Source organism: Homo sapiens, chromosome 5 (assembly GCF_000001405.40).
Source record: "Homo sapiens chromosome 5, GRCh38.p14 Primary Assembly".
NCBI lineage: Eukaryota > Metazoa > Chordata > Mammalia > Primates > Hominidae > Homo > Homo sapiens.
In genome coordinates this window covers 44,767,664-44,794,007 of record NC_000005.10, presented here as the reverse complement: position 1 = coordinate 44,794,007, position 26,344 = coordinate 44,767,664, and the positions used below count along the sequence as shown (strand labels likewise).

General features: G+C 36.9%; 1 long non-coding RNA gene across 4 annotated transcripts in view; it reads left to right on the top strand.

The window, feature by feature from the left end:
* Window positions 1-26,344, top strand: part of MRPS30-DT (MRPS30 divergent transcript) — a 64,466-nt gene that overhangs the window by 14,786 nt on the left and 23,336 nt on the right. For 2 of the 4 annotated variants that reach the window (NR_109863.1, NR_109862.1), the window contains exon 2: window positions 16,907-16,971. The exons of the other annotated variants lie outside the window; for them this stretch is intronic. This is a non-coding gene — a long non-coding RNA (MRPS30 divergent transcript). The remainder of the gene's footprint in view (window positions 1-16,906; window positions 16,972-26,344) is intronic. 4 annotated transcript variants of the gene reach the window in all.

Below are 26,344 nucleotides of genomic sequence, written 5' to 3'. Positions count from 1 at the left end.
TGGCAAACCCTGAAGGGATGATACTGAAGAAACTCCCTGACCTGAAGGAAGGAAATAGACTGCAGCACAGATTGCCCAACTTGTGTACATGGTGGGGTACCCAGGTAAAGGATGGGATTGGGTTACAGGCCCAAATTAGTAGAGTTAGAGTCTTTCCTAAGACAGAGAGGGTTAAAGCCTCCTCTCAGTAAAAGGCAAGGATGCTTGACTGAACTTGGGTTCGAGGCCAACTTAGGAATCCTAAGATTTAGGGGGTTAGAGGCCCCTCTCAGTAAAGTCTCTCTCAGCTAAGAATAGGTTTTGCACTATGGGATATTAACTGCTATTCTCTTTGGATTATTCTGCCTTGCCCTCTTGGCTGATGGCTGTGGGTGACAGGGTATGTAAAGGATCATGGGACATGGGGAGCTTTTTCCTCCATATAAGGGGAAGCTTGAGAGCTGATGGAACACCTGGAAAAGATCACTTTGTGACCGACTGCAGAGACCAGCTCGGTTAGAGAGACCCAAACACAGTGGCGCTAGAGGAATTAAAGACACACAACAGAAATATAGAGGTGTGAGGTGGGAAATCAGGGGTCTCACAGCCTTCAGAGGTGACAGCCCCAAACAGAGATTTACCCACATATTTATTAACAACAGGCCAGTCATTAGCATTGTTCTACAGATATTAGATTAACTGAAAGTATCCCTTATGGGAAACCAAGGGATGGGCTGAAATAAAGGGATGTGTTGGGCTAGTTATCTGCAGCAGGAACATATCCTTAAGGCACAGATCACTCATGCTGTTGTTTGTGGTTTAAGAACGCCTTTAAGTGGTTTTCTGCCCTGGGTAGGCCAGGTGTTCCTTGCCCTCATTCCGGTAAACCCACAACCTTCCAGCGTAGTCGTTATGGCCATCATGAACATGTCACAGTGCTGCAGAGATTTTATTTATGGCCAGTTTTGGGGCCAGTTTATGGCCAGATCTTGGGGGGGCCTGTTCCCAACATGTCCCCCTCCTTTGATTTGCAAAGTGATAAAAGCAAGAGCAACTTTGTCACGGTGAGCTATTTCTCACAGGAGTCAGGATCTGCATCTGCAGACTATACAAAGACAAACAACACAGATTAAAAGCACAATCATCATTGAAATCACAGAGCTTCCAAGTGTTTTTATCCATTTTACTCAGTTACTAGCTACTAATCTGTCTGCAGTTCCTTCAAGCACTCCAGTTCCTGGCGTTAAGGTTAGGTGTGCCTGGGATGCTTTAAGTATTTGTTCTTTTAATTTTGTAATATCCAAAAACAAGTTTGTAGAGTGTCCTTCTAGATGCTTTTTTATTCTTTCCCAAACTTTGATCTTGTTAAGAGCTATTAATAGTTTCCACAAATCCTTATATTTAGCTCCTACAGCAGGCCATATCATTTGAGGTTGAGGTGCCACTATACCGCCATGGTTCCAGATAATAGAAATTCTTGCCGTACTTCTTATCATTTCTACCATCTGACCTTTTTGTTCAGACCATCTGAACATAGTATGGCCATGGCACACACGCTGAGCAGTGCAATTCAAGCTAAACATCCCCTTAGGGGACCAGTTAATAATGATTCCATAGGAATCATTGTGCAGCACCTCTGCCTGTTCTGCAGTGCAATCTTCCGAAACAAGTACGTTCATTTTTCCTGTCCAGGTTTAATTTTGTTTACAAATAAGTTTTTGAGGGCGGTATGCCTCAATTATAGGAGCAGATTTATTATGGTAAATACTGAGATAAGAAAGCATATGTAACTGCGTCATAGAGTGATAACATCTAGGCATTATTGCTAGCCAAGATTGCTAAATATGCCTGATAAGTATAATTGTTCTCTGTGTCAGCCCTTATTGAAGGAATACTCATGGCAGTAGTGATAACTGCTATCATAGCTACCATTAAATTACTCATTGTGACTGGTTGTCCTGCTTTCCTCAGGTTTTCTTTCGCCATCTGTGACAGCTTCTTGATCTGTCCCCAGGTGGATGGCTGTGTTGAATGGGTGTTGTTCATGACAGATGGGGTCCTCCTCAGCATCAGCCTTGACATGGTTGCAACCAGGGGGTCCTCGGGATCCTCCTGGAATCTCTTCCTTGGCATCTGGCTCATGATAAGTTTTCAGGTGTCTTGATGGTATCCAAATTGGCTGTTGATTTTGGCCTGGAGAAATAAAAGCACAACCTCTACCCCAAGTTATTATTTTACCTATTTCCAAACTTTTTGTTATTGGATCTCTCCAGCAAACCAGCCTGTTCTGCTTCTGTCTTTGCAGCTGGTTTCTGTAGATGCTGTTCAGCTGCTGATAACGTCTGGCCTTTGGGCAGGCTCAAAAAAATTTAAAGTTAATAATGCTATTTAAATTTAAAGTCAGTTGTGTATGGGCTGTCCCATAATCCTTGTTTCTCCCCCTTTTTTGTTTTTGTCATCATTTGTTCATTGTGTGAAATTGTAACTGAGCATTTTTAATTAACTGTGTGGAATGAACCACGTATGAAGAATCAGAAATCACATTAATAGGCATATTAAAACCAGTCAATACCTCAATTATAGCTACAAGCTCCACTTTTTGAGCTGAAGTATAGGGCGTCTGGAAAACTTTACCTCTTGATTCAGAATAATAAGCTTTACCATGACTAGACCCATCTGTGAAACAATGAAAATGCTTAGCAGGCTGCAGGTTCTTTACTGCAGGAATTGTAAATGCAAACCATTCACAGTCTTGCTCAGCTAAAGGTATAGTAAAGAAGCAGTCTTTTAAATCTATGACTACTAAAGGCCAATTTTTTGGAATTATAGCAGGAGAAGGCAATCCTAGCTGTAATGCTCCCATAGGTTGTATAACTGAATTGATGGCTCTTAAGTCAGTTAACATTCTCCGTTTACCTGATTTTTTCTTAATTACGAAAACTGGAGAATTCCAAGGGGAAAATGTTAGAGCCATGTGCCCATTTTCTAATTGTTCAGTAACTAATTCCTCTAAAGCCTCCAGTTTCTCTTTACTTAGCAGCCATTGTTGTATCCAAATTGGCTTATCTGTTAACCACTCTAAAGGTATAGGTTCTGGAGGCTTAACAATGGGCACCATCAAAAATGATATCTTAAACCTTTGGTGGGAACTTTGTCTTTCTGCTTGAAGCAGTTCTTTCAAACCGTGCAAATTTTTTTCTAGTCCCGTACCAGGGACATACCCCATTTCATGCATCATATGTTGATTTTGAGGGCTATATAATTGTTCTGGAATTAGAACTTGTGCTCTCCATTGTTGTAATAAATCTCTTCCCCATAAATTTATAGGTACAGAAGTTATAATTGGTTAAATAGTCCTAGGTTGTCCATCTGGCCCTTCACGATGCAAAATATAGCTACTTTGATATACTTCAGGGGCTTTACCAATTCCAACTATGTTAAATTGAGTGGGTTGAATTGGCCATGTGGACGGCCAGTGCTGTAGAGAAATGACTGAAATGTCCACTCCTGTATCTACCAAACTTTTAAATTTCTTTCCCTGAATAGTTATTTCACAGGTAGGATGTTTATCAGTAATTTGATTTACCCAATAAGCAGCTTTGCCTTGTTTATTTGTGTTTCCAAATGCTCCTGTTCATTTAATTTCACTTTTCCCCGTTCCCACATATGGCACAATCAGGAGCTGTGCTACACGCTCTCCTGGCTCTGCTTTCCAGGGAACAGAAGTAGACATAACAATTTGAATTTCCCCGTTATAATCTGAATCAATTACTCCTGTATGCATTTGTACCCCTTTTAAATTTAAACTAGACCTTCTTAGAAGTAACCCTGTCATACCTGCTGGCAAGGGTCCACAGACTCATGTTGGGACCTTTTGCAGGGGTTCCCCAGGCAGAAGGCTCACAGCTTTTGTGCAGCATAAATCTACTGCAGCACTACCAGTTGTGGTGGGGGACAGACATTGTACAGGGGTGAGGGAATGGCCTGAGCTGGAAATGCCCCAGTTTAGAATGGGGCCCAGGACGGGACCCTCATGGCATTTTCCGAAATCGGGTTCCCATCTTTATCAAACTAGAGTGACATTCATTAGCCAAATATTTTCCTTTTTTACATTTTGGACATATTTTGGGCTCAGCAGTTTTCTTTTTTCCCCTATCTGTCGGCCTGACTTGCTGATTTTTTTCTACATTCTTTTTTCGTATGACCATGCTTCCCACAGTTAAAACAAGCTCCAGGAAATGGAGTATTTCCTTTATCCACTCTCAGTCCTGCCATTGCCTGTGCTAGCAGAGTAGCCTTATGCAGATTACCTCTGATATCATCACAGGCCTTGATATAATCAACTAAATGTGCTTTCCCGAATTTAAAAGGAAAAGGCTCAAATGTAGCTGTAATATTTCCCTGTTGATCTGGGGGGTGTATTCTAACAGGGAACTGCCAAACCTCTGAATCACCCTCACGTCTAGCTTGCTGAATTCCAGCCTGAATAGAACTAAGAGTGATCGCTCGAGGCACTGCTCAAACAGTCACTGGGGCAACTACTTTTCGCCCAGTGTCCTCCGGAAAAGAAAGATCTGGAGAGTCAGGCCACTCTTTTTCTTCAAAATAACAATGAGGGGGTGCAGAAGGGTAGCGATGAATCTCTCCCTTCTTTGCCACTTTAGCTTTAGCTGGCAAACAAACCTGCTCTGTAACCTCTTCTGTTATTTCATTATACTCTCCTTCCTCCTCATCATCAGTGTGAAAAAGTTACAAGGCAGAATGAACCAGACCCCACACTTGTCCCATTGTTACCCTGATGCTTCCGAGCTCCCCTTCTTACTTACCACGGGGATTGCTTTAAGAGTACTCAGGTGTCCTCCAGCTTAGTTCCATGTTCTCCAACCGTCGCTCTAACGACCCTTTGACCTGGATTAGAGCCCCCACAATGGATGCTGCTTGCCGAGACCAGCTCAGCCAGGGAGACCCTAACCCAGCAGTGCCAGAGGAATTAAAGACACACACACACAAATATAGAGGTGTGAACTGGGAAATCGGGGTCTCACAGCCTTCAGAGCTGAGAGCCTTGAACAGAGATTTACCCACGTATTTATTAACAGCAAGCCAGTCGTTAGCATTGTTTCTATAGATATTAGATTAATTAAAAGTATCCCTTAGGGGAAACGAAGGGATGGGCCGAAATAAAGGGATGCGTTGGGCTAGATACCTGCAGCAGGAGCATGTCCTTAAGGCACAGATCACTCATGCTATTGTTTGTGGTTTAAGAATGCCTTTAAGTGGTTTTCTGTCCTGGGTGGCCCAGGTGTTCCTTGTCCTCATTCTGGTAAACCCACAACCTTCCAGCATTGGCATTATGGCCGTCATGAACATGTCACAATGCTGCAGAGATTTTGTTTATTGCCAGTTTTGGGGCCAGATTACGGCCAGATGGTGGGAGGCCTGTTCCCAACAACTGAGAAGCAGCTGCTTGAACTTTTGAGCAATTGGTGGGTCTTTCTCTGACCTCCCTGAGTCTTTGCCTTCCTCACCCTGCCAAGGCAATGCTTCCTCTCTCTCTCTTTCTCTCTGTGCAAACTGGTTCATTGAATGGTAAAAATTACTGTTTATCTCCTTCATTAAGTTTTGATTATTGGAAAAAAGGATTTGTGAGGCTTATCTTAAGCTGCAGTGAATCTGGTGTGCCTTGTGTGTTCTATCATAAAGAGGGGTACCTCAGGATAGAACATGGGCTTAGAAACCCATAAGCCCACTGTTCAAGATAGCCCAGCAAACTGGTCATTTATAAACTTTGCTGCAGGTCCCTGGGTGGGGGGGTACTGGATGAGGTTTTCCTCCTGTTTTGTATGTCCTCAGGAGTTTGACCTTATAAGCACGTGGCAGTTCTTTCTCTTGGTCTCCCTCATCACAATGGCGGCTGGGGTTCAGGGTTCAATTCCTGGCTTAGGGAATGAGTCCTTTACCTTCTGTCTGCGTATTTATATGTGTTGGGTGTGTGATATTTGTATCTAAAACAGCTTTGATTAATTGGTTTAATAATAATATAAGCTTAAATCAAATATTTTGTCAGGAAAGTTAAAAGTGTAATGTCTTTTAGGTCACGTGACTTAAGTAATCTTTGGAAAATAGAAACAGTTCTACATGTAAGGTGTGTAAAGAAATTGAAATGTGTTTTTGGTAAAAGATTATAAGAGGGCATGGGAATGTGGATGTTTCTGCCTAGATTAAAGGGTTAATGATTGTTTTAAGTTTGGATAAAGCTGAATGTTTGAACAAGTTGTGGAAGGTTTGTGAAAAATTAATCTTGTTAAAAAAATTATCTATGTGTGAACATATTGGCCAAAGTTAAAGGAGTATTCAGTTTTTCTGTAAATTAAACATTGGAATACAAGCATACTTTTTCTTAGAGCGCTGATCTGCTCTTTAACAAAAAATTTTGAAGGGTTATAAGAGGTTTATGAGAATCTTACCCCTTGTCAAATATTAAAATTGGGTAGATATTTTTATTAGGTTTTATTAGGACTTGGGTTTAACATTAACAGTATGCTAATGTAAAGGTGAAGTTTGGTTTATTTAGTACAAAAATCGTAAAGGAAACATTGTCACATATAAAATTGGCTTTCTTTGGGCTATATTTGTATAAATATGTTATTGGTATGTGTTCCAGAATTATGGGAAACTCCAATAATCCTAATATAACTTAGTGTGCTTATCACTGATAATTACAATTATTACATAAAATTTTGTATGCCACAGAAGTAACCAAGTTTTTTTATCAGTTGTGGCTTTGATAGTGGCTATCCTAAGACTTTTTATCATCCACAGACAATTGATGTTTTGTTTTAATCTTCTTCAAAAGGTGGTTTGTAATCAGCTGCAGGACTTTGACAGATGTTCTTAAATGCAAGTTTCTGATGACTTTGAAGATTATGACATTAGAGAAAAAAACTTTCAGGACTCATGGAGAGTCAAAATTTTCATGGATATCAAATAGGAGTTAACTGCATGGACCGAACTGAAGAAGACTGAAGTAATATTTTTGCTTAAAATGTTGCTGATCCTTTGTTTTGTTTTTTCAGAGTCAAGGAAGCTTTTCTTTTGAGCTATTTACAGCTTTTAGCAATTGAGTAAAGTATACTCCTGTGAACAAAATTTGGAACATATTTGTTTCTCTCTAACTGATTTCTCCAGAATTTGGAACTAGTTGTGAGTATTCTTAATTTATGTCAGTATAATTATTTGTGTAAGTGCAATAAGAATCAATTTTCTTTTGCAACAATACACAGTTGGAGAAACTGGTTATTTTACCAAGGACTTGACTGGAATGGTGTGTTTTCCTTTAAGGAATTAAACTTGACATATAGAGGCGACAAAAGCCCCTTAGGAAATCTGGCCTCATACTTTGTCTACACAGTCCCTGCACAGGATTCCTGACCTGTATTAAGTAAAGAATATCACTTTCTGACAGGCTGATTAGCCCTAAGTTATCTTGGGACCTCAAAAGGAGAGACATTTACCCAACTCATAGGTATTTGAGGATACAATCCCATATCAGGGCTTGACTTTAAAAAAGTCTTATCTGAGATTCCTTCTATGGAAGAGAGTTCCATCAAAGCCAATCTAAAAAGTCTAAGTGAAAAATAATTATTCTTGCTACATTTTACACAAATAATCAGGCCAAGTATAATAAAGCAAATCAGTCTTATCGTGATTTGTCTTTAATAAAAATGGGATACTGAAGAGAGGAAAAAATTGTGTTTCAAGAACTATGGTACACCTGTTATTAGGTTCTAGTCTCCTCAGTTGTTTTTGAGGTTTTTCTCTGCAATTTAGACTAACCCTGCTTATTCCTGTGCACCAACCAGTGATCTCTGGCTGCTACTGAGAAGAAATAAGAGGGTTGGTCAATGTAAAAATCTGGATTGATATCCTAATTCTGGGCACATTGGAATCAGCTAGCAACCCCATATCAGCTTGGTTCCAACAATTGCCCAGTTCATGGAAAGCCTTCTAATTTAGTTTACTTGGGATACTTTTACTTAATTTGCTTTGCTATTTTGGAATGTATTGTGGTTGTACTCTGTGTGTAGGAATGCAAGACAGGCTTACTCAATGTTTTCTTAAATTGAACACTTATTAATCTTTCAGATATCACCTTTTGTTGAAATTGAGAGTTATGAATAGCCCTCACCATACTGATGCTTTCTGACTGAGCCCCTCTCTACCCTGAATGCAAGAGACCCAGTAGTTAGGCAGGAATATTATCACCTCTATTCAGCCTGAAGAAATTAGAGAAGACAGATCTTCATCTCTCTGCAACCCTTAGCATTAAGGGTCCTCTTGTAAAGGGAGGGGGGGAAATATGTCAGATGCATTTGAAACAGAGCAACTCCATCTTGAGTGAGGGCTAGGAAAATGAGGCTGGAACTTGCTGGGCTGCATTCCCAAAAAGTTAGGTATCCCTAGCCTCTAGATGTTCATGGTTAAGGGAACAGATTGATAACATTTACTAAACAGACCCAGACTTAGGAGTGTCCTGATGTCCCGAATATTGAGAACAGAAGCATTCTTAATTTTGCTTTAAAGATAATAATATCAATTCTTGCAAAATATAGTAATTAGGAAAATAAATCCTTTATCACAAATTCTTGTAGCAGAGCTCATCTCCCCATATCTTTTTTATCCTATATATAAACAAATATTGTACCTAGGGTGGACGTGTTTGTCCTGGTGTGTTCAAGAATGCCCTACTCTGTCTATGGAGTAGCCATTCTTTCACCACCTTACTTTCATAATAAACTGGCTTTTGCTTTGCACTATGGACTCACCCTGAATTCTTTCTTGTGCAAGAACCAGGAACCCTCTCTTGGGGTGTGGATCGAGACCCCTTTCTGGTAACGAGAGCACAGCTTGGTTTTATACATTTTAAGGAGACATGAGACATCAATCAACGTATATAAGATGAACATTTTGATCTGAAAAGGTGGGCCAACTTGAAGCAGGGATGGGACTTGCGGGCCATAGGTAGATAAGAGCAAATGGTTGCATTCTTTTGAGTTTCTGATTTGCCTCACCAAAGGAGGTAATAGATATGCATTTATCTCAGTGACCAGAGAGGTGGCTTTGAGTAGAATAGGAAACAGGTTTGCCCTAAGCAGTTCCCAGCTTGACTTTTCCCTTTAGCCTAGAGATTTTGGGGTCCCAATATTAATTTTCCTTTCACATCTTGTTAATCTGTCTTTTGTTACAGGGAAGTCTCAATTAAGAATTATGAAGGCTAGAGAAAACTATTTTTTTCTCTCCTACAGTTTTGTAGGTCTTACAGAATAATGGAGTGTGTGAGTTAATCTAGCAGTTATGTGAAGTGGAGATTTTTGAAAGACTTTTTATGTATAATTATCTGTTAAGAGTAGAGATTAGGCTGGGTGTGGTGGCTCACGCCTGTAATCCCAACACTTTGAGAGGCTGAAGCAGGTGGATCACCGGAGGTCAGGAGTTTGAGACCAGCCTGGCCAACATGGTGAAACCCCATCTCTACTAAAAATACAAAACTTAGCCAAGCGTGGCGGTGGCTGCTGTAAGCCCAGCTACTTGGGAGGCTGAGGCAGGAGAATTGCTTGAACCCGGAAGGCGGAGGTTGTTGTGAGCTGAGATCATGCCATTGGACTCCAGCCTTGGTGACAAGAGTGAGACTCTGTCTCTAAATAAATAAATAAGAGTAGAGATTATGTCTTTAAGATTTCAGGAAGTATGTCTTGATGGCCCAGGGAAAGGAAGCAAAGAACGTGGGCAAGAAAGAGTGAGTCAGTACTGTAAAGTGTAGTGGTTAGGGGTAAGAACTCTGGAATCAGGTTATTTGGGTTATGTTCCTGGCTCTGTCAGAGGTGTTTAAACCAGAGTGACTCCATCTTGAATAGGGGCTGGGTAAAATAATGCTGAGACCTACCGGGCTGCATTCAAAGGAGGTTAGGCATTCTTAGTCACAGGATGAGATAGGAGGTCAACACAAGATACAGGTCACAAAGATCTTGCTGATAAAATAGGTTGTGGTAGAGAAGCCAGCCCAAACCCACCAAAATCAACATGGTGACGAAAGTGACCTGTGGTCTTCCTGACTGCTCATTATATGCTAATTATAATGCATTAGCATGCTAAAAGACACTCCCACCAGCACCATGATGATTTACAAATGCCATGACTATGTCAGGTAATTACCCTATATGGCGTAAAAAAGGGAGAACCCCCAGTTCTTGGAATTGTCCAACCCTTTCCCAGAAAACTCATGAATAATTCACCCCTTGTTTAGCATATAATCAAGAAATAACTATAAATATTCTTGGTCAAACAGCCCATGCCACTGCTGTGCCTATGGAGTAGCCATTCTTTTATTCCTTTACTTTCTTAATAAACTTGCTTTCACTTTACTGTATGGTCTCATCCTGAATTCTTTCTTGTGTGAAGTCTCAGAACCCTCACTTGGGGTCTGGATCAGGACTGCTTTCCTGTAACAGCTCCTCTACTTTAATAAGTTGTGTGAGTTTGGAGAAGTTACTTAAGGCCTCATGGCCTCAATTTTCTTATCTATGTAGGATTATTATTGCCTGTCCTGATTTCTCACAGGGTCACTAAATAAAATGCTCTTTAAGCATTATGTTCTTATTAATATTATTATTTGGGGGTGGTAATACAAGAAGAGGAAGTACATTATTAGCACTAGAAACCAATTTATTCTCATGATATAGCAATTTCATTTTTAAAATATCTAGTATTGGAAGCATATGTAAAGGTTATTTTGTATCAGCACCCATTTTAATACCTGACTTCTTTCTTGTATCTTATCAAGTGAATGATGAAGTCACCTACTGCCAGAGTATCCCTGTTTATTTTTTGGACTACTCTGTTAATTCATTTATGTTCTCATCAATGATTTATTTAATGTTTAATGTATGTTAAGTGTTAGGCATAGAAATATGACTTGTCCCTGTTCTTGAGGACCGCAAAGCATAGCTGTAAATACCATTTCATGAAAAGATAATTTGAATACAATGTAATAGGTACTACATTAAGAATACATAAAAAGCAGTGTGTGAATCCAGTGTTTTTCATTACACCAAATTGAGCTTAATATTCCTATAACTTCTGACTTATTCAATTTTGATTCCTGTGAAAACATGGATTGGTTGTGGCAGATCGTTTTGGAATCCAATGACCATTCTCTTGTCCTCTTCTTCCTGACTAGTAGAACCTGAATTGTGTTCAGGCATTTACTCTCCAGTGTGCTCAGGAAAGGTAACAGTCCCCTTAGTCCATGGGGTATATCATGATTAGCCTGCGTTACAATGGTTGAGGGCAATTTTTCTTGAAGCTTCTTGGATGGGTTTTCCAGTTTGATAAAGGGAGGTACCCCCATCATCTTCAACAATAGTTGTTATATCTTCATGTAATGCTTGGAATTGTCTTAGCCATTTACAATCATGCAAAGAGACATCACAGGAACACCAAGAATGACAGAATGGAAAGATGATCCTGGTTCCTTTATGACATTTTTTGTCCTGCTGAATTAAGCAACTGTGCAGTAAAGGATTAACTCGCCAGACTCAGAGTGTTAAAATTCTGTTCATTACAAAAATAAATAAATGAATGAATAAATAAAATAACTGGCCCTGGGGTTTCTGAGGGATAACTTCTAGTCCCTTGGTATATCCTGCTTGATGAGAGTATCTTTGTATACCTGGGGCTTTGGAACACATATTATCAGATTGGCCTCTGAAAAGACTAGAGAACAAGTAACTAAAGTCAGTCAGGCAAGCACTCTGTGCCTATGTGACTGACCCGTAAAAAAAAACTCTGGATACAAATGCTCAAGTAAGCTTCCTCAGTTGGCAACACTTTGTATGAATTGTCACATATTATTGCTGGGAGAAGTAAGCATTGTCCATGTAACTCCAATAGAAGAGGACAACTGGAAGGTAGCACCTGTTTTCTCCAGGACTCTACCCTATGCACATTTTTTCTTTACTAATATTAATGTGTATTAACTTACTGTAAAAAACTATAACCATGAATATCACCACTTTTCTGAGTTCTGTGAGTCCTAGCAAATCATCAAATCTAAGAATGATTTTGCATCCCTGAAACAACAACCCTGGAAACACCCACCTCCATATTACATATTATCTGAATTAGGGGTGGAACCATTTCAAACTGTCAATTCATACTGAGTTTCTGTGTAGCAAAGTGTATGAGTTATGACTAAGCTACAGCCCCTTCTCTGTAGTTATCATTAAAACTCAAATTCAACAGTTTACATTTATCTCATTTTCTGCCATCTTACCCAGATCAGACAAGCCTATCTTTTCAAGTCAGTACCTATGGGTACTGACTCTGTTACCAGCATTTTTGTTATTATTCCTTCCTCATTATTTGCCAAAGTGCATGAGATGTCATCAATCCTGATCAAATCTTTATGCTTGTATATCTTCCATAAGTTAAATCCCATGAGAATGGAAATCTTATATGTCTTGTTCACAGCCATCTTCATACCACTAGAAGCATACATATTTTTGTCAAAATAGATAAGAAGAGTTTATCTCTAGGTAGATTCTTTTTAACACATACATTTACCCTAGCAATAGTAATATAATTACCCTTCAACATTCATGTGCAATGTATTGTCTATTATATTGTCTACAACTAGCTAGGATAAGAACACCTAGGAGTAGAATGTATTTAAGAGTTCTTTTCATGTTTGTGAGATAAGAAAGAGGGAGGCCTTTTGAAGCATAAAAAAGAGCCCACAGGGGAAAGGTCTGGCTTGGAAGATATAGTAAAAAATTCTGACTTTCAGTAGCCACATGACTATGCTAAGCTTCTGGACAAATAAGGGAAGAAAAAGGTAGCCAGGGGCATGTCTACTGAGACAGGAGTAATTTGAGTGTCTTACTTGCCACCAGTGCAAAACTTAAGGAGGGGTTTTAAAAACTCAATAATCAACATAAAATAAAATATATTTAAAAATATAATATATTTAAAAGTCAAAATTAATGCCAAAAATCATAAAAAACAGAATAAAACTAGGATCAATAGAAATGCTAATCCACTCATAATCTATTCACAGTCCATAAGTGAGGCACCAAGAGGTCATGCACACAATGCTTCCTTGAATATTAGACCGATGAGTTTCCTGGCATCCTATTCTCTCTATCCATTTGTAGTTTCTGCTTCCTCCTCCCTAACAAAGACTTTCTGAGGAGTTACCTGTGAATTTAAATATACTCTTTTGGAGATAGGACCAGATTTCAATATGGCTTAGGTGTACCATCAAACTGATTATACCCCAAACACCAGGCTATGTATTTTCCTACTTCTCTGTCATTAAAATATGAACACATCTGCAACATGAATTATTTGAAATTTAACCATATATTTTAAATGTTCTTTCAATACAATGTTCTTTCAATACACAATACAATGTTCCTTAACTCATGCACATGGCAGTAATCCGTTATATTTAGAACATATGGCTGCATTTGATATATCAAATGTCTTTGGCAAGTGAAGTCATCCCAGTTTAATGAAAACTTGTCTGTAAGATGACATAGGAGAAAAACAATAATTTTCCTCTCATTCTTCAATATATTTCCTTCAAATTTATGTTGATCTAAGTTGGCCTAAAATTAATATTTTTCTAAAATAACACAAGTAGTTAAAATAGTCTTAAAGAATTTATGTATAGGCATCAAAAGTATGATATTCACAATTGGAAAGTAAATTGTTACCACTTTTCTGGGGAGTATTTTGGTGATATAGTTCAGTCTGTTAAAATGTCCATTACTTCTGACCCTGAGGAAAAAATTTGTAAGTCAATCAGAGTGACTCAATATAATTTAACATATTAAGTACACACACACACACACACACACACACACACACACACTCAACTTTTAATGGTGACAGTGGGTTGCTTTTCTACTCTCTGGAAAAAGTTTAATTTTGCCCAGGTCAAGGACTAGAAGCTCACCAAACATGGCACCATCATTTCCACCCAATCTCCAGCAGATCTAAGTCCCTACTTCCCAGTCACGAGGGTTGAAAGTACTCAGGCTGTTGACCTGCAGGCAGGGGCAGTCGTTTTTCTATGACCACTTGGTTGGTGAGTTTCTTCCATCCAGCTTCCTAGTCCTCTGTCCAGAATAGTTTTCTCTCTCTCTCTTCACAATTAGTGAAAGAAACCCTGTTCCTCTAAACTTCTTTCTCCCTTGCATTTGAGTCACCACTCTGCCTCTTCCCCTTCCTCTAGGCCCGATTTTGTATAATCATTGTGAGGGGTATATATAGATATATATCGATATAGATATATATATAGATATATATATACATTAGATATATCTATATATATAGATATATCGATATATATCTACCTAATAGTATAGGACTGATAAAATAAGTTGTAGTATATTTAAATTAAGACTACTATGAAACCATTAAAATAACATTTTTGAAATAGTAAAATAGTTTTGAAATAAAGATGAGTTTAAAACCCAAGATTAAAAAAATGTATAAACTACATGATTGGATAAGAAATACACACATAATGACACGGAAAAAGCCAGGAAAGAAGTGCAATAAAATATTAACAAAAGATGAAAGCAAATGATGGGATTATTGGTATTTTTCCTCCTTGTAATTTCTAATTTATCTTTACTGGTTACAGATTCCCCTTCCCCTTCCCCTTCCCCTTCCCCTTCCCCTTCCCCTTCCCTTTCCCTTTCCCCTTCCCTTTCCCCTTCCCTTCCACACAGTTTCGGTCTCATTGCCCAGGCTGGAGTGCAGTGCCATGATCTCGGCTCACTGCAACCTCCGCCTCCTGGGTTCAAGCGATTCTTCTGCCTTAGCCTCCTGAGTAGCTGGGATTACAGGTATCTGCCACCACACCCAGCTTATTTTGTATATTTTTAGTAGAGATGGGGTTTCACCATGTTGGCCAGGCTGGTCTCAAACTCCGGACCTCAGGTGATCCACCCGTCTCAGCCTCCCAAAGTGCTGGAATTACAGGCATGAGCAACCGTGCCCGTCAGCTTATTTCTTTTAAAAATCAGAACAAAACTTGGTTTAGATGTAAGAAATGTGGAAGAAAAGTAATGTTTCACCAGAATCTGAATACATGCATTATATATTATTCCATCAAGTGGACAATTACTTGCTGAATAAACCTGATCATGTACAGATTCCAAAGTCGAATTCTGGTTGTACTGATTCTCTACACTGAAGTTTAATAGTCTGTGCCCAAGTTCAAATTTAGAAAGGATAAACTGGAAAATTAATGATATTTTAATGACTGTATCTTTATGCAGAGCCTTGTGTGCTACATACATTTTACATACACTCCTGTAGGGGATGGGCAACCATTGTAGAACTATGAGCAGAGAAATGTTTGCATATGAGATAACTCAGATGGTAGTGAAGAATAGTAGGAGAGGCCAGGCTATGCAGGTGAGGAAGTGGAACCAGCGAGTCCTTTTAAATTTTGTAATTTAATATTGAACAGATATGACATTGATAAATTTTTGTAAAATTTGAAGAATAAAACAAAATAAACAATCACATACCTACCTTCCAACACAAGAAATAGGACATTGCCAGTTGCTTTGAAGAGTTCCCCGTCCGCTGTTACTCCAATCCTATCCCTCCTTTTCTCCACCAGAGGTAGCCACTGTCTTCAATTTTATGTTTATTATTACTTTGTTAAAAGTTCAACATATGTTTCACTTTCACAGTGAACAACTTGTATGGCTTTTCAATGGTTTAGTTTTGCATGTTCTTGAACTTTATATAAATGAAGGCATGCTTTGTATTTTCTTCTGTAATGGGTTTGGTCATTCAACTTTAAGTTTATGAGATATATCCATGTTGAATTTTGTAGCTGTGGTTTGATGATTTTTACATTATATAGTATTACATTCCATGGATAGTTCTCAGTAGATAATCCTCCTATTGTTTAACATTTGCGTTGCTTCTCATTTTGACCTATTTTAAACAGGCCTCTTTAAATATACACTTCTCTGTAGTGTATGCTAGAAATGGAGTGGCTGGAATAAAAGTGGCTGAATCATCTTCAACTCTAGTAAGATGTCAAACTGTTTTCTAAAAGTGTTTTATTTTAACTATTATATGTCAATTTTGAACAGCTCTTTCACTTACTAGCAATTTATTATCAGCAACACTTGTTATTGTCAGACTTTTAAGTTTTCATTCACTGGGTAACATGACATCTTTTTGTGGTTCTAATTTGCATTTCCATGCCTACTAATGAATTTGAGCTTGTTTTAGTACAATTATTGGTCATTTTTATTTCCTCTGCTGTGAAATGCCTGTTCAGGATTTGTTCATCTTTTTTTAAAATAGTTTGCAAATATGTTGCCTAGCTTGTGGCTTGACTTTTCAGTTTCTTCAGTATTACATTTGATAAAGAGAAGTTCTTAAACTTCAATGTGATCATATTTATGTTTTGCTCATTTAAAAAAACCTGGTTAAATATTTCACAAATCGACATTATGATATATTATCTTCCAAAATTTTAATAATTTTGTCTTTTTTCACATTTTAGTCTTTAGCTCAGCTGGAATTCATTTCTGTGTGTGGTGTGAGATAAGTCTTTTTCATGTTTTTCCCTATGAAATAAATTATTTCCTTCTGTATTGCAGGTAGCTGAGACCAATGATGCTGACCTCCCTCAAAAGCTGCATTTCTGAATTTCTGAAGGCAAACTGTCTGCCTATATTGTACAGCAAAATAATTTCCTGTATTAAAACGTTTTTATTGCTCTAAATTTCTAGATTAAACTCTGCTTAGGTATTGCTAAGAGGGTAGCCAAGTATAGAAACTTAAATTTACTGACAGAAATCTAGAGAATGCTTAATTTTTTTTCCAGCAGTGAAGTAGAAGAGACAGGGATATCCCAGAAGGTTATGCAAAACATCAAGAGAAGATGAGAGGGTAAGGTTTATAGACTGAGTTATTAGAAAAATGCACAATGGGGTTTGGGTTGCATAAAAACAGGGTCTATGGGTGTGTATTTATAAGTTCACACATGCACACACAAACACACACATATATGTACACACACAGGCAGCCCTCAACATTCTCATGATTGGCTTTTGTACATTATTTTTTAATTATTAATACCTCAAAATGTGTTTATATAGAGAAATTGAACTTTAGTGCATCACAAAAGAGAAGAGACTTCAATTTCTAGTTCAAGAAATGAATGAGAAAGATCCTTAGAATTTATAGCACCTGGAGATCTACGAGAAAAACTAGTTTATTTTCTCCATTCATTCTTGAGATTTGAAATCAGTCTGTTGCGTTCAAGTTCTTAAATTAGTTGCATGTTGAATTAATTAGAAAATATCACTATGACTACAGTGACTTCGTATAAAAAGAGAGGTGGAATTTTTATGAGTGTGGCCTTTAAGATTATCAGGGAACACTAGGAATAAAACCTAAGGTGATGATTCACTCTGCAATGTAGGTTAGCTAGAGGATAATGACCCATGTGTTCTGATCCAGCAGCATCTCTTTTTCAGATTAGTGGATAAGTACATCCAGTGGAGTCAGATTCCCTTGGGCAAATGATAGTTCTGCCAATGATTAGCGTTGCCATCTTGGGGAAGTCATTTTACCTTTCTGTGTCCCCTTTACTCATGTTTAAAATGGAAATAACGACGTAACTGCTTGATGGGGGTGTTGTTATGTTTAAATGCAATAATACCACTTCAAAGTGCTTAGAGGGGTAACAGATGCATCATGACTGTCCAACAAATTTTAACTGTTATTATGTTTATTACGTTTACCTAGTACTCTGTGATGTCGTAAGGATAAGAAAGATCAAGGGATCAGGAAAATGAAGATTTTAGCTTCATTCATCTTAACGAGGTTAACAGACATGATTTTCCCACTCTCCTTCAACACTCACATATCAATTTCATATTTGTGGAAAGTTTTCACTTACAACACTCAGTATATACCACTTAGAATTATGAAAGTATATCCTGTAGGGCAGATCCACATGCAGAAGAATGAAACTAGACCCCTATCTCTCACCATACACAAACATCAAATCAGATGGATTAAACACTTCAATCTAAGACCTCTCACTATGAAATGACTATGAGTAAACATTGTAGAATATTCATCTGGGAAAAAATTTCTTGCCCCACAAGCACAGGCAACCAAAGTCAAAATGGACAAATGGGATCACATCAAGTTAAAAAGTTTCTGCACAGCAAAGGAAACTATCAGTAAAACATAGAGGCAACTCACAGAACTGGAAAAAATATTTGCAAACTCCTCAACCAACAAGGGGTTAGTAACCAGTGTATATATAAGGAGCTCAAACAACTCTACAGGAAAAAAAATCTAGCAATCGATTAAAAATGGACAAAGGATTTGAATAGACATTTCTCAAAAGAAGATATACGAATGTCAGAAAAGCATATAAAAATTTGCTCAACATCACTGATTGTCAGTGAAATGTAAATCAAAACTACAATGAGATATCATCTGACCCCAGTTAAAATGGCATTTATCCAAAAGACAGGCAATAATAACAAATGTTGACAAGGACGTGGAGAAAAGGGAACGCTTGTACACTGTTGGTAGGAATGTAAGTTAGTACAACCCCTATGGAGAACAGTTTGGAGTTTCCTCAAAAAACCAAAAATAGGGCTACTATCCAATTCAGCCATCCTACTGCTGAGTATACACCCAAAAGAAAGGAAATCAGCATATCGAAGAGATATCTGCACTCCCATGTTTGTTGCAGTATTGTTCACAATAGCCAAGATTTGGAGCAACCTAAGTGTCCACCAACAGATACATGGATAAAGAAAATGTGGTACATATGTACAGTCATAAAAAAAGAACTAGATTTGATTATTTGCAATAACATGGATGAAACTGGAGGTCATTATTTAAGTGAAATAAACCAGGCACAGAAAGACAAACATTGTGTGTTCTCACTCATTCATAGGATTTAAAAATCAAAACAATTGAACTCACAGAGACAGAGAATGGAAGGATGGTTACCAGAGGCTAGGAAGCATAGTGGGGGAATGGGAGGAGGTGAGGATGTTTAATGAGTACAAAAAAATAGAAACAATGAATAAGACCTAGTATTTGATAGCACAACAGGAGGACTATGGTCAGTAATAATTAAATTGTACATTTTAAAACAACTAAAAGAATATAATTGGATTGTCTGTACACAAAAGATAAATGCTTCAGGGGATGGCTATCCACCAATTTTCCACAATGTGATTATTATGCATTGCATGCTTTTACCAAAATATCTCATGTACCCCATAAACATATACATCTAGTATGTACCTAAAAAAATTAAAAATATAAAAGAGTATTTGTATAATGGATAAGTACCATAGAAATATTTGGAAGAGCAAGGAGAAATTGGATATTTTTGTAATGATGAAAGTATGTATTTCTGTACTTTGCCTGTATATTTTTTAAGTAAAAACTGACCACAAGATGTCACTGTTAACATATGTATGGGAGGGAAAGTTGCCTTGAACAGCAGCTAGGTTTTGTGGGGCCGGTGTGGTTAGAAATCATTATTTTAAAATCCTTGGCAATAACTAAACCTCAACATGTTTCAGTTTTTCAAAACCACTGGAATGTTTTTAGAGTTTGGGAATTTTTTTTTAGTTTTGCAAAATATTTTCAGTTGAATTCACACCCAAGTATATTTATTTGAAAATTTAATTTAAAACAATATGGTTTGCTAACGAAGTTGAAGCCTCTATTCTCAAGTGGAGAATAAACCCACAAAACCACTCCGAGTTGGCATTACTCTTTTAACCAGGAACAATAGCTTTATTTGAACTAATGAACATTTCCTCCAGAAAAGATTTAATATAAGATGAAAAAGAGCATCATAGAAGATGCTTTAAGGACTAGAATTCGTCTTATCCCCAAATAATAGCTTAGGAATGGGAGTGTTAAATTATTTTTTGTTACCTTTTCACTACAATATTTTAAAAAATTACTTTGCATGTGACTTAGAAAGAAATCTATTGTTAACCCCCTACTTTCCAGCATGCCTATCTTTAAACCTTCCTTAATGTAAGTTTTGATTTCCAAAGCAGATCCCATAACTCTGACTCTGTTATGATTTTGCTTTTTACTCCTCCTGCTTTCTCTAGAGTCCTTCTCTTTCCCCTCATTTCTCTTCTACTGACCCTGCCTATACCATAGTCTCACTCTTAGACCTCTGTTTCTGAACCAATTCTGTTTTCTAGTTCATATGCTATTAGGCTGAGAGTCAGAAGGATTTGGGGAGTGTACGGAATAATCCTCCATTTTATTCAGTCTTGTTCAATTGATTTAACAATAGCTACATGCCAGTTTCTGTGTTAGTCATCTCTAATTGAAAAATTGAGTAAGTCTCCTTCAACAAAATCTGCTCAAAGTTATCATGTTTTTACAAAGCCCCTACTGGACTGCATGTGATTAGTTATTAAACATTTTATGAATAAATGAAAAACAACGACAAGTTCACTGCTTTGGAGATGGCATGGAGTATTAAAAAAAGGAAAAAATCCCAAAACATTAGTTTGTACAACAAGAGAGAAAGAGTTATAACTCTGGATCCACAGTTAGTTTTCATCACCTTCATCAAATCACTTATTGCCAAACCCCAATTTCCTCATCCATAAAATTAAGAAACAAGACTAAAAGAGTTCTAGGGTACTTTTCATTTTTTCCCATTCTGTGAGAATTTAGGTTCACCTGTTTAACTATTGAAAAGTATTAATTGCTAGAAAGTTTTTCCTGAGTTGAACTTGATGTCTAAAAGCTTCCCTGTAGCTTTTAGCCATTGGTCCTAGTTCTGCTCTTAAGAACCACATAGAGCTAAGTTCTTTCCTGCTTCTACATAACAACCTTTTAAATACTTGTTGAAAATTGTCATTTAACTAAGCATCTTTTTCATTTTCTTAAACTCACCTTCAGTTTTTCACCATCTTAATATTAGTACTAATTTTAGGTCCCCATCATCTTGCAATAGTCTTAAAATATGATGCTCAAACTGGAATTTGATACAACAGATAGTTGGAGGAATCAAGAATACATTGAGATCATTGATTTCCAGAATAATTTTTGTAGTCTAATGTCATTACCTACTTTATTAATCAAATCTTTCCAAACCTTTTGCCCATGAAATACCGTGACCCAGATTCCCACTGGTCTGATGAATGTGTGCATTTATACATGTATGTGTATACACGTGTGTGTGTTTATGTGTGTGGCCAAAATCTACCTCTCCAGCCTTACACTGAACTGCAATGATATGACATCTAGGTTATGGCTGATTAAGTAGCAAAATAAATGTGTCGGCCAGGCGCGGTGGCTCATGCCTGAATTCCCAGCACTTTGAGAGGCCGAGGCGGGCAGATCACGAGGTCAAGAAATCAAGACCATCCTAGCCAACATGGTGAAACCCTGTCTCTACTGAAAAATACAAAAATTAGCTGGGCGTGGTGGTGCGTGCTTGTAGTCCCAGCCACTTGGGAGGCTGAGGCAGCAGAATCGCTTGAACCTTGGAGGTGGAGGTTGCAGTGAGCCAAGATCGCACCACTGCAACACAATATATATATTTTATAGCATATATATTTATATATTTATTTTTACAGTATATATTCATTGTATAAATAGTAAGTATACTATTTATACAATAATATACAATATATAAAACATATATATATGTTATACATATATATGTATTAAAACATATAAAACATATAGTCATTGTATATACTATTCATACAATGAGTTCTTATTCGTGTGGAAACTGTCCACATGATTATTCATAGCACAGGAAAAGGAAAAATCATATTTGCTGGATTTTTAAAAATAAACAACTGAAGCGGACCAGTTGCGACTGGACTTGAAATCCCAAATGTGTGAATTACCATCTAGATTTAAAACCTATAATCTAAATGAACCTATGAGTCAACAAACTCCTTTGGAATATATCACCTAGTCTTAAATGGCTATATAGAAGCAAAAACAATGGAAGAGTAGAATAATGAAGTGGCTTAGAATGTAGGAATAAGAAACAGATGGGTTTCAAATCTTGTATCTTTCATGTACTATATCGCACATATTTGGCTGTATACCTGCTCCTAGCATTAGTGTAAGGTTTAATTAAGATGAGATATATAAGCCTTTTAGCATAGCACCTGGTATACCAAGGGCATTCCATAAAATATATCAAATATGATGACTAATAAACAGGTTGCAAATATGTTTGTACTTTCTGTCTACATAGAATTGAGATATGTTTAAATAAACCGAGTGATGGATTTACAGTGATATCACAATATCTGGCCCCTTCTGTGTTCCTTAGTCAGTGCTTATGAAAAAATTGTCAAGAATTAGAGAACTGGCTTCTGGAACCACCACACACAGGGTTAATGTCTGATAGAAGCTCTGTTAGCATGGCCAACCACTCTTCCTCTTTTCTTTAATGTGGCGGTAATAGCATTTGGTTCTGGTTTGTACATAGAATTATGAGGGAAGGAGGTAGCTAAATATCCGTTTGCTTCTCTCCTCACTGCCTCTTACACTAAACTTGGAATTTCTTTTTTAATTTGGGGCTCTCAGAAAACTGAGACTTGCTAGAGAAAAATAAAAACCTCCATATAACAAACCACACCTTCTTCCCTCAGTATTTTAGAAAATAGTTAATTGAAATTAGGGTCTCTGGACTTTTTCTTCTAAATGAGGACAATTTGGGGGATTTCAAAAGGCTTTCACCATTACCTCATTTCATTCCCATGGGTGCATTTAAGTAACTAGCTCAGCAAGAATTCAGATGACGAATTCCTCATTACTTTGTTATTAAACTAAAGAGTCACTGACTCTCCTCCCATGGCCAATATCCACACTTATTAATCTTTCCATAAAAAGTAATCATTTGGGCCCATATCTTATGATACTTTGCCCCGATAAAACTTGGCTGTGGTTCAGTGACCATTTCCTCTACACTGACAATATAATCTAATTATTTTCTCCCACTGATCTCTGTCAAAATGATGATGCTGGAACATGTCATAATTACTACATAAATATGTTATTACAAATTATGTATATTACTGAGTTCTCCGAAATGCAGATTGAGTCATATTCACTCACAGGCTTTGTGACATTACCAACTTTAAATTAGGCAATTTTAGAAAATGTATAAATTCTTTCAGCAATTTATTAAATAAGTCATATGCTCCCAAGTATCTTGCTAGGTTTTTATCCAGAAATTCAGGTTAGAGCCCTTATTTAGGGATCTACAAGATCCATAGGACTTTTCTCTGGTTTTGTTTTGAAATTAATCTTTAAAAACTTTGTTTTGTTATATTTAAAGCCAAAATATTTTCTTTCTCTTTGATAATTTACACCTGAAAGATATTTTCTTAAATTGAGGACTCTCAAATTTGGATTCATGAATCTCTTATTCACTGGTCTGTGAGAGCATTTTTTCCCTTTAAAAGGAATCTGCTCATTATTAAAGCTTGACAAGTAATACTTAAATTACTTTTGTAAGTAGCAAGTACTTGTTAAGTTTTCTTAAGTTTTAAGTTTTCTGTAATTTAATTTAATTTCAGTGATATTGACTTTATAAAAAGAACATGTTATTCTTAATTTTTCTAATTCACAGGACTAAACAGAAACTACTGTAAACCCCTCCTCTGCCGGTTTTGTCACTCAGAAGATACTTAACGTCAGCAATGATGAATGTTTAGGACATTTTTAGTAAAAGGAATAAAAGGTCCTTGATATTGATAAAGGAATAGAAGGTCCTCGTGATTGATAACAATAATAGTTGTTATCAATACGGTGTATTAAAACTCTGTTATCTAAAGCTATTAGCTGACAGAGCTTAGAAGTCCCTTCAAAAAAGCAGAAGAGATTGACGATGAACGTGTTTCATAGTTTGCTATTTCTACATCAAAACTTAAGCCCTGAAATATGATAATGCCAGCAGCTAGTCACTGATTTGTCTTTGTTAACCCCCTCAATGATTACATAGACAAATGTAGTTTTAGTCCCTTCTCCGTTCCAGTCCATCTGCCACATATTCACTTTTCACCAGCACTTACTTCTCTATCAAAATATTTTCCAGGATGAGAAAAGAACCAACTTTCAGGCAAGAGAGAAATGAGAATGAGTGATTCTAGCTAATGACTACCAGATAAGAATTTGCTTATTTTCCTAATGGTCTACTGTGCCCTGCTAAGCTATCATGTCACAAACAAAATAGATAAGTCTAATGGGAGAAACATCTAAGGTTTCAGGATACAGCCACAGCACCTTTTTCTACGTAAAATAGTTTTTAAATAAATAAACTAATAGTGGCTGCCAACAAATGAAATCTAAGAATAATATAACTGAGCTTTCAGGCAAAATATTGTCACAACTTGTGAAATCAATAAAAATAAAATCTGTAAGGACTAAACACATAAATTCTCTTGTCTACCTTACAAAATATTTCTATACTTAAGAAATAGTGCACAGAAAGACATAAATGTAGTAAAAACATATTTCTTCACTGGAAGACAAGATTGAGAATTCCAGTCTAGGGTTGCATCATTTATACTTTTGTCCACTGTTTTCCTGCCATAATTATCTGAGATGCATTTCCCAAAGTAGTCTCAAATAGGAAGCCCCTATTAAACAAAATGTAAACATTAAACAAATAGTAATGGTGGTCTTCAGTCTTCAGTTCACCACAGTGGTCTGACCACATCGAACATGAATGAGTAGGTGGTTTCCAGAAAACTGTCAAATAATAGAAAACAATCTGTTGAAAATAACACTGAGTGGTGGAAAAAGAGATGCCAAACTGTTTCATCCTCATATTAATAAATGAAATAAAGTAAAAATATTAATGAAAATACAATAGAGCAAGAATATCATTTAAGGAAAACATTTCCATATGGTTTATTATAATTAACAGTTATAGAGAGTAAAAGCAAGAAAATGGGGGGAATTTTGGTCACTGTATTGAGAACTGGTCTGGCATGGAGGTTGCCTTACCTGCCTTCAGGAAGCCACTTATTTATTACTCTGTTTTTATCTATCAGCAAATGATGCCCAGGGAGAGAAAGAAATCCTGCTTTAAAGAGATATTGAGTTTATTGAATTTAACATTTGTAAAGTTGGTTTAGTTGCTTAGTAATCAAAAAAAGTAAGTTAAAACTATTATTATATTGTTTGTGGCATTTAAACCTATAATTAAGGTGACCAAATATTTTCCATAACCCCCCTTATGTTTAGCCATTTACAATTTTTTTTTTTTGCAATTTTGTGATTTGAAGCTAAAACTTTCCATGGGTTCTATGTATTTATTGCCTGGAATCACTTAAAAATAATTCAAATAAGTTTGAATTTTGGTAATTTGTCTTTCCTTGACTAATTTAAGAGATAGTCATTGGCATTTTTATAGAAAACAAAGCACATTCTATATTTCATTTTGGATTAGATCTTAAAATCAAATGTAACATTCAGAAAACCTTCAAAAAGGCCATATATGAGCTTGGAAAATAATAGTTTAAAGATAATAATGCCATTCATAAATTAAAACCATGATCTCAACATGCTCTGTTGCAAATTTTACTTGGAAATGTGTTCCTGCTACCCGGATCAGTTCCTCCTCTCTCATTTGATTTACAACCTCACCAACTGGTTGTTTGAATGTTGTACAGATTATACTATAATAATTATTTTTATATTTTGAAAAAGACTTCTAGAAGCATTATCTTAGAAAATTTTCCATAATATATGATATGGTTTGGCTGTGTCCCCATCAAAATCTCATCATGAATCCCCACATGTTGTGGGAAGGACCTGGTAGGAGGTAATTAAATCATGGGGGCACTTCTTTGCCATGCTCTTCCCATAAGAGTGAATAAGTCTCTTGAGATCTGATGGTTTTAAAAAGGGGAGTTTCCCTGCGTAAACTCTCTTTTTGCCTGCCACCATCCATGTAAGACATGACTTGCTCCTCCTTGCCTCCCAACATGATTGTGAGGCCTCCCCAGCCATCTGGAACTATAAGTCCATTAAAACTCTTTTTCCTCCCAGTCTAGGGTATGTCTTTATCAGCAGTGTAAATCAGATGAATACAATATATAATACACATTATATGTATATTACTTTATATTATTAATCATTTAAGAGGAATAGTATGTAAACGTGAGATGAATTACAATCTTATATAGCAAAATTCAATCTTAGATTGATTATAATATTTTAGTTTTAGAGCTCCAACACTTAGTCAATGGATATTATAGGGCAAGAA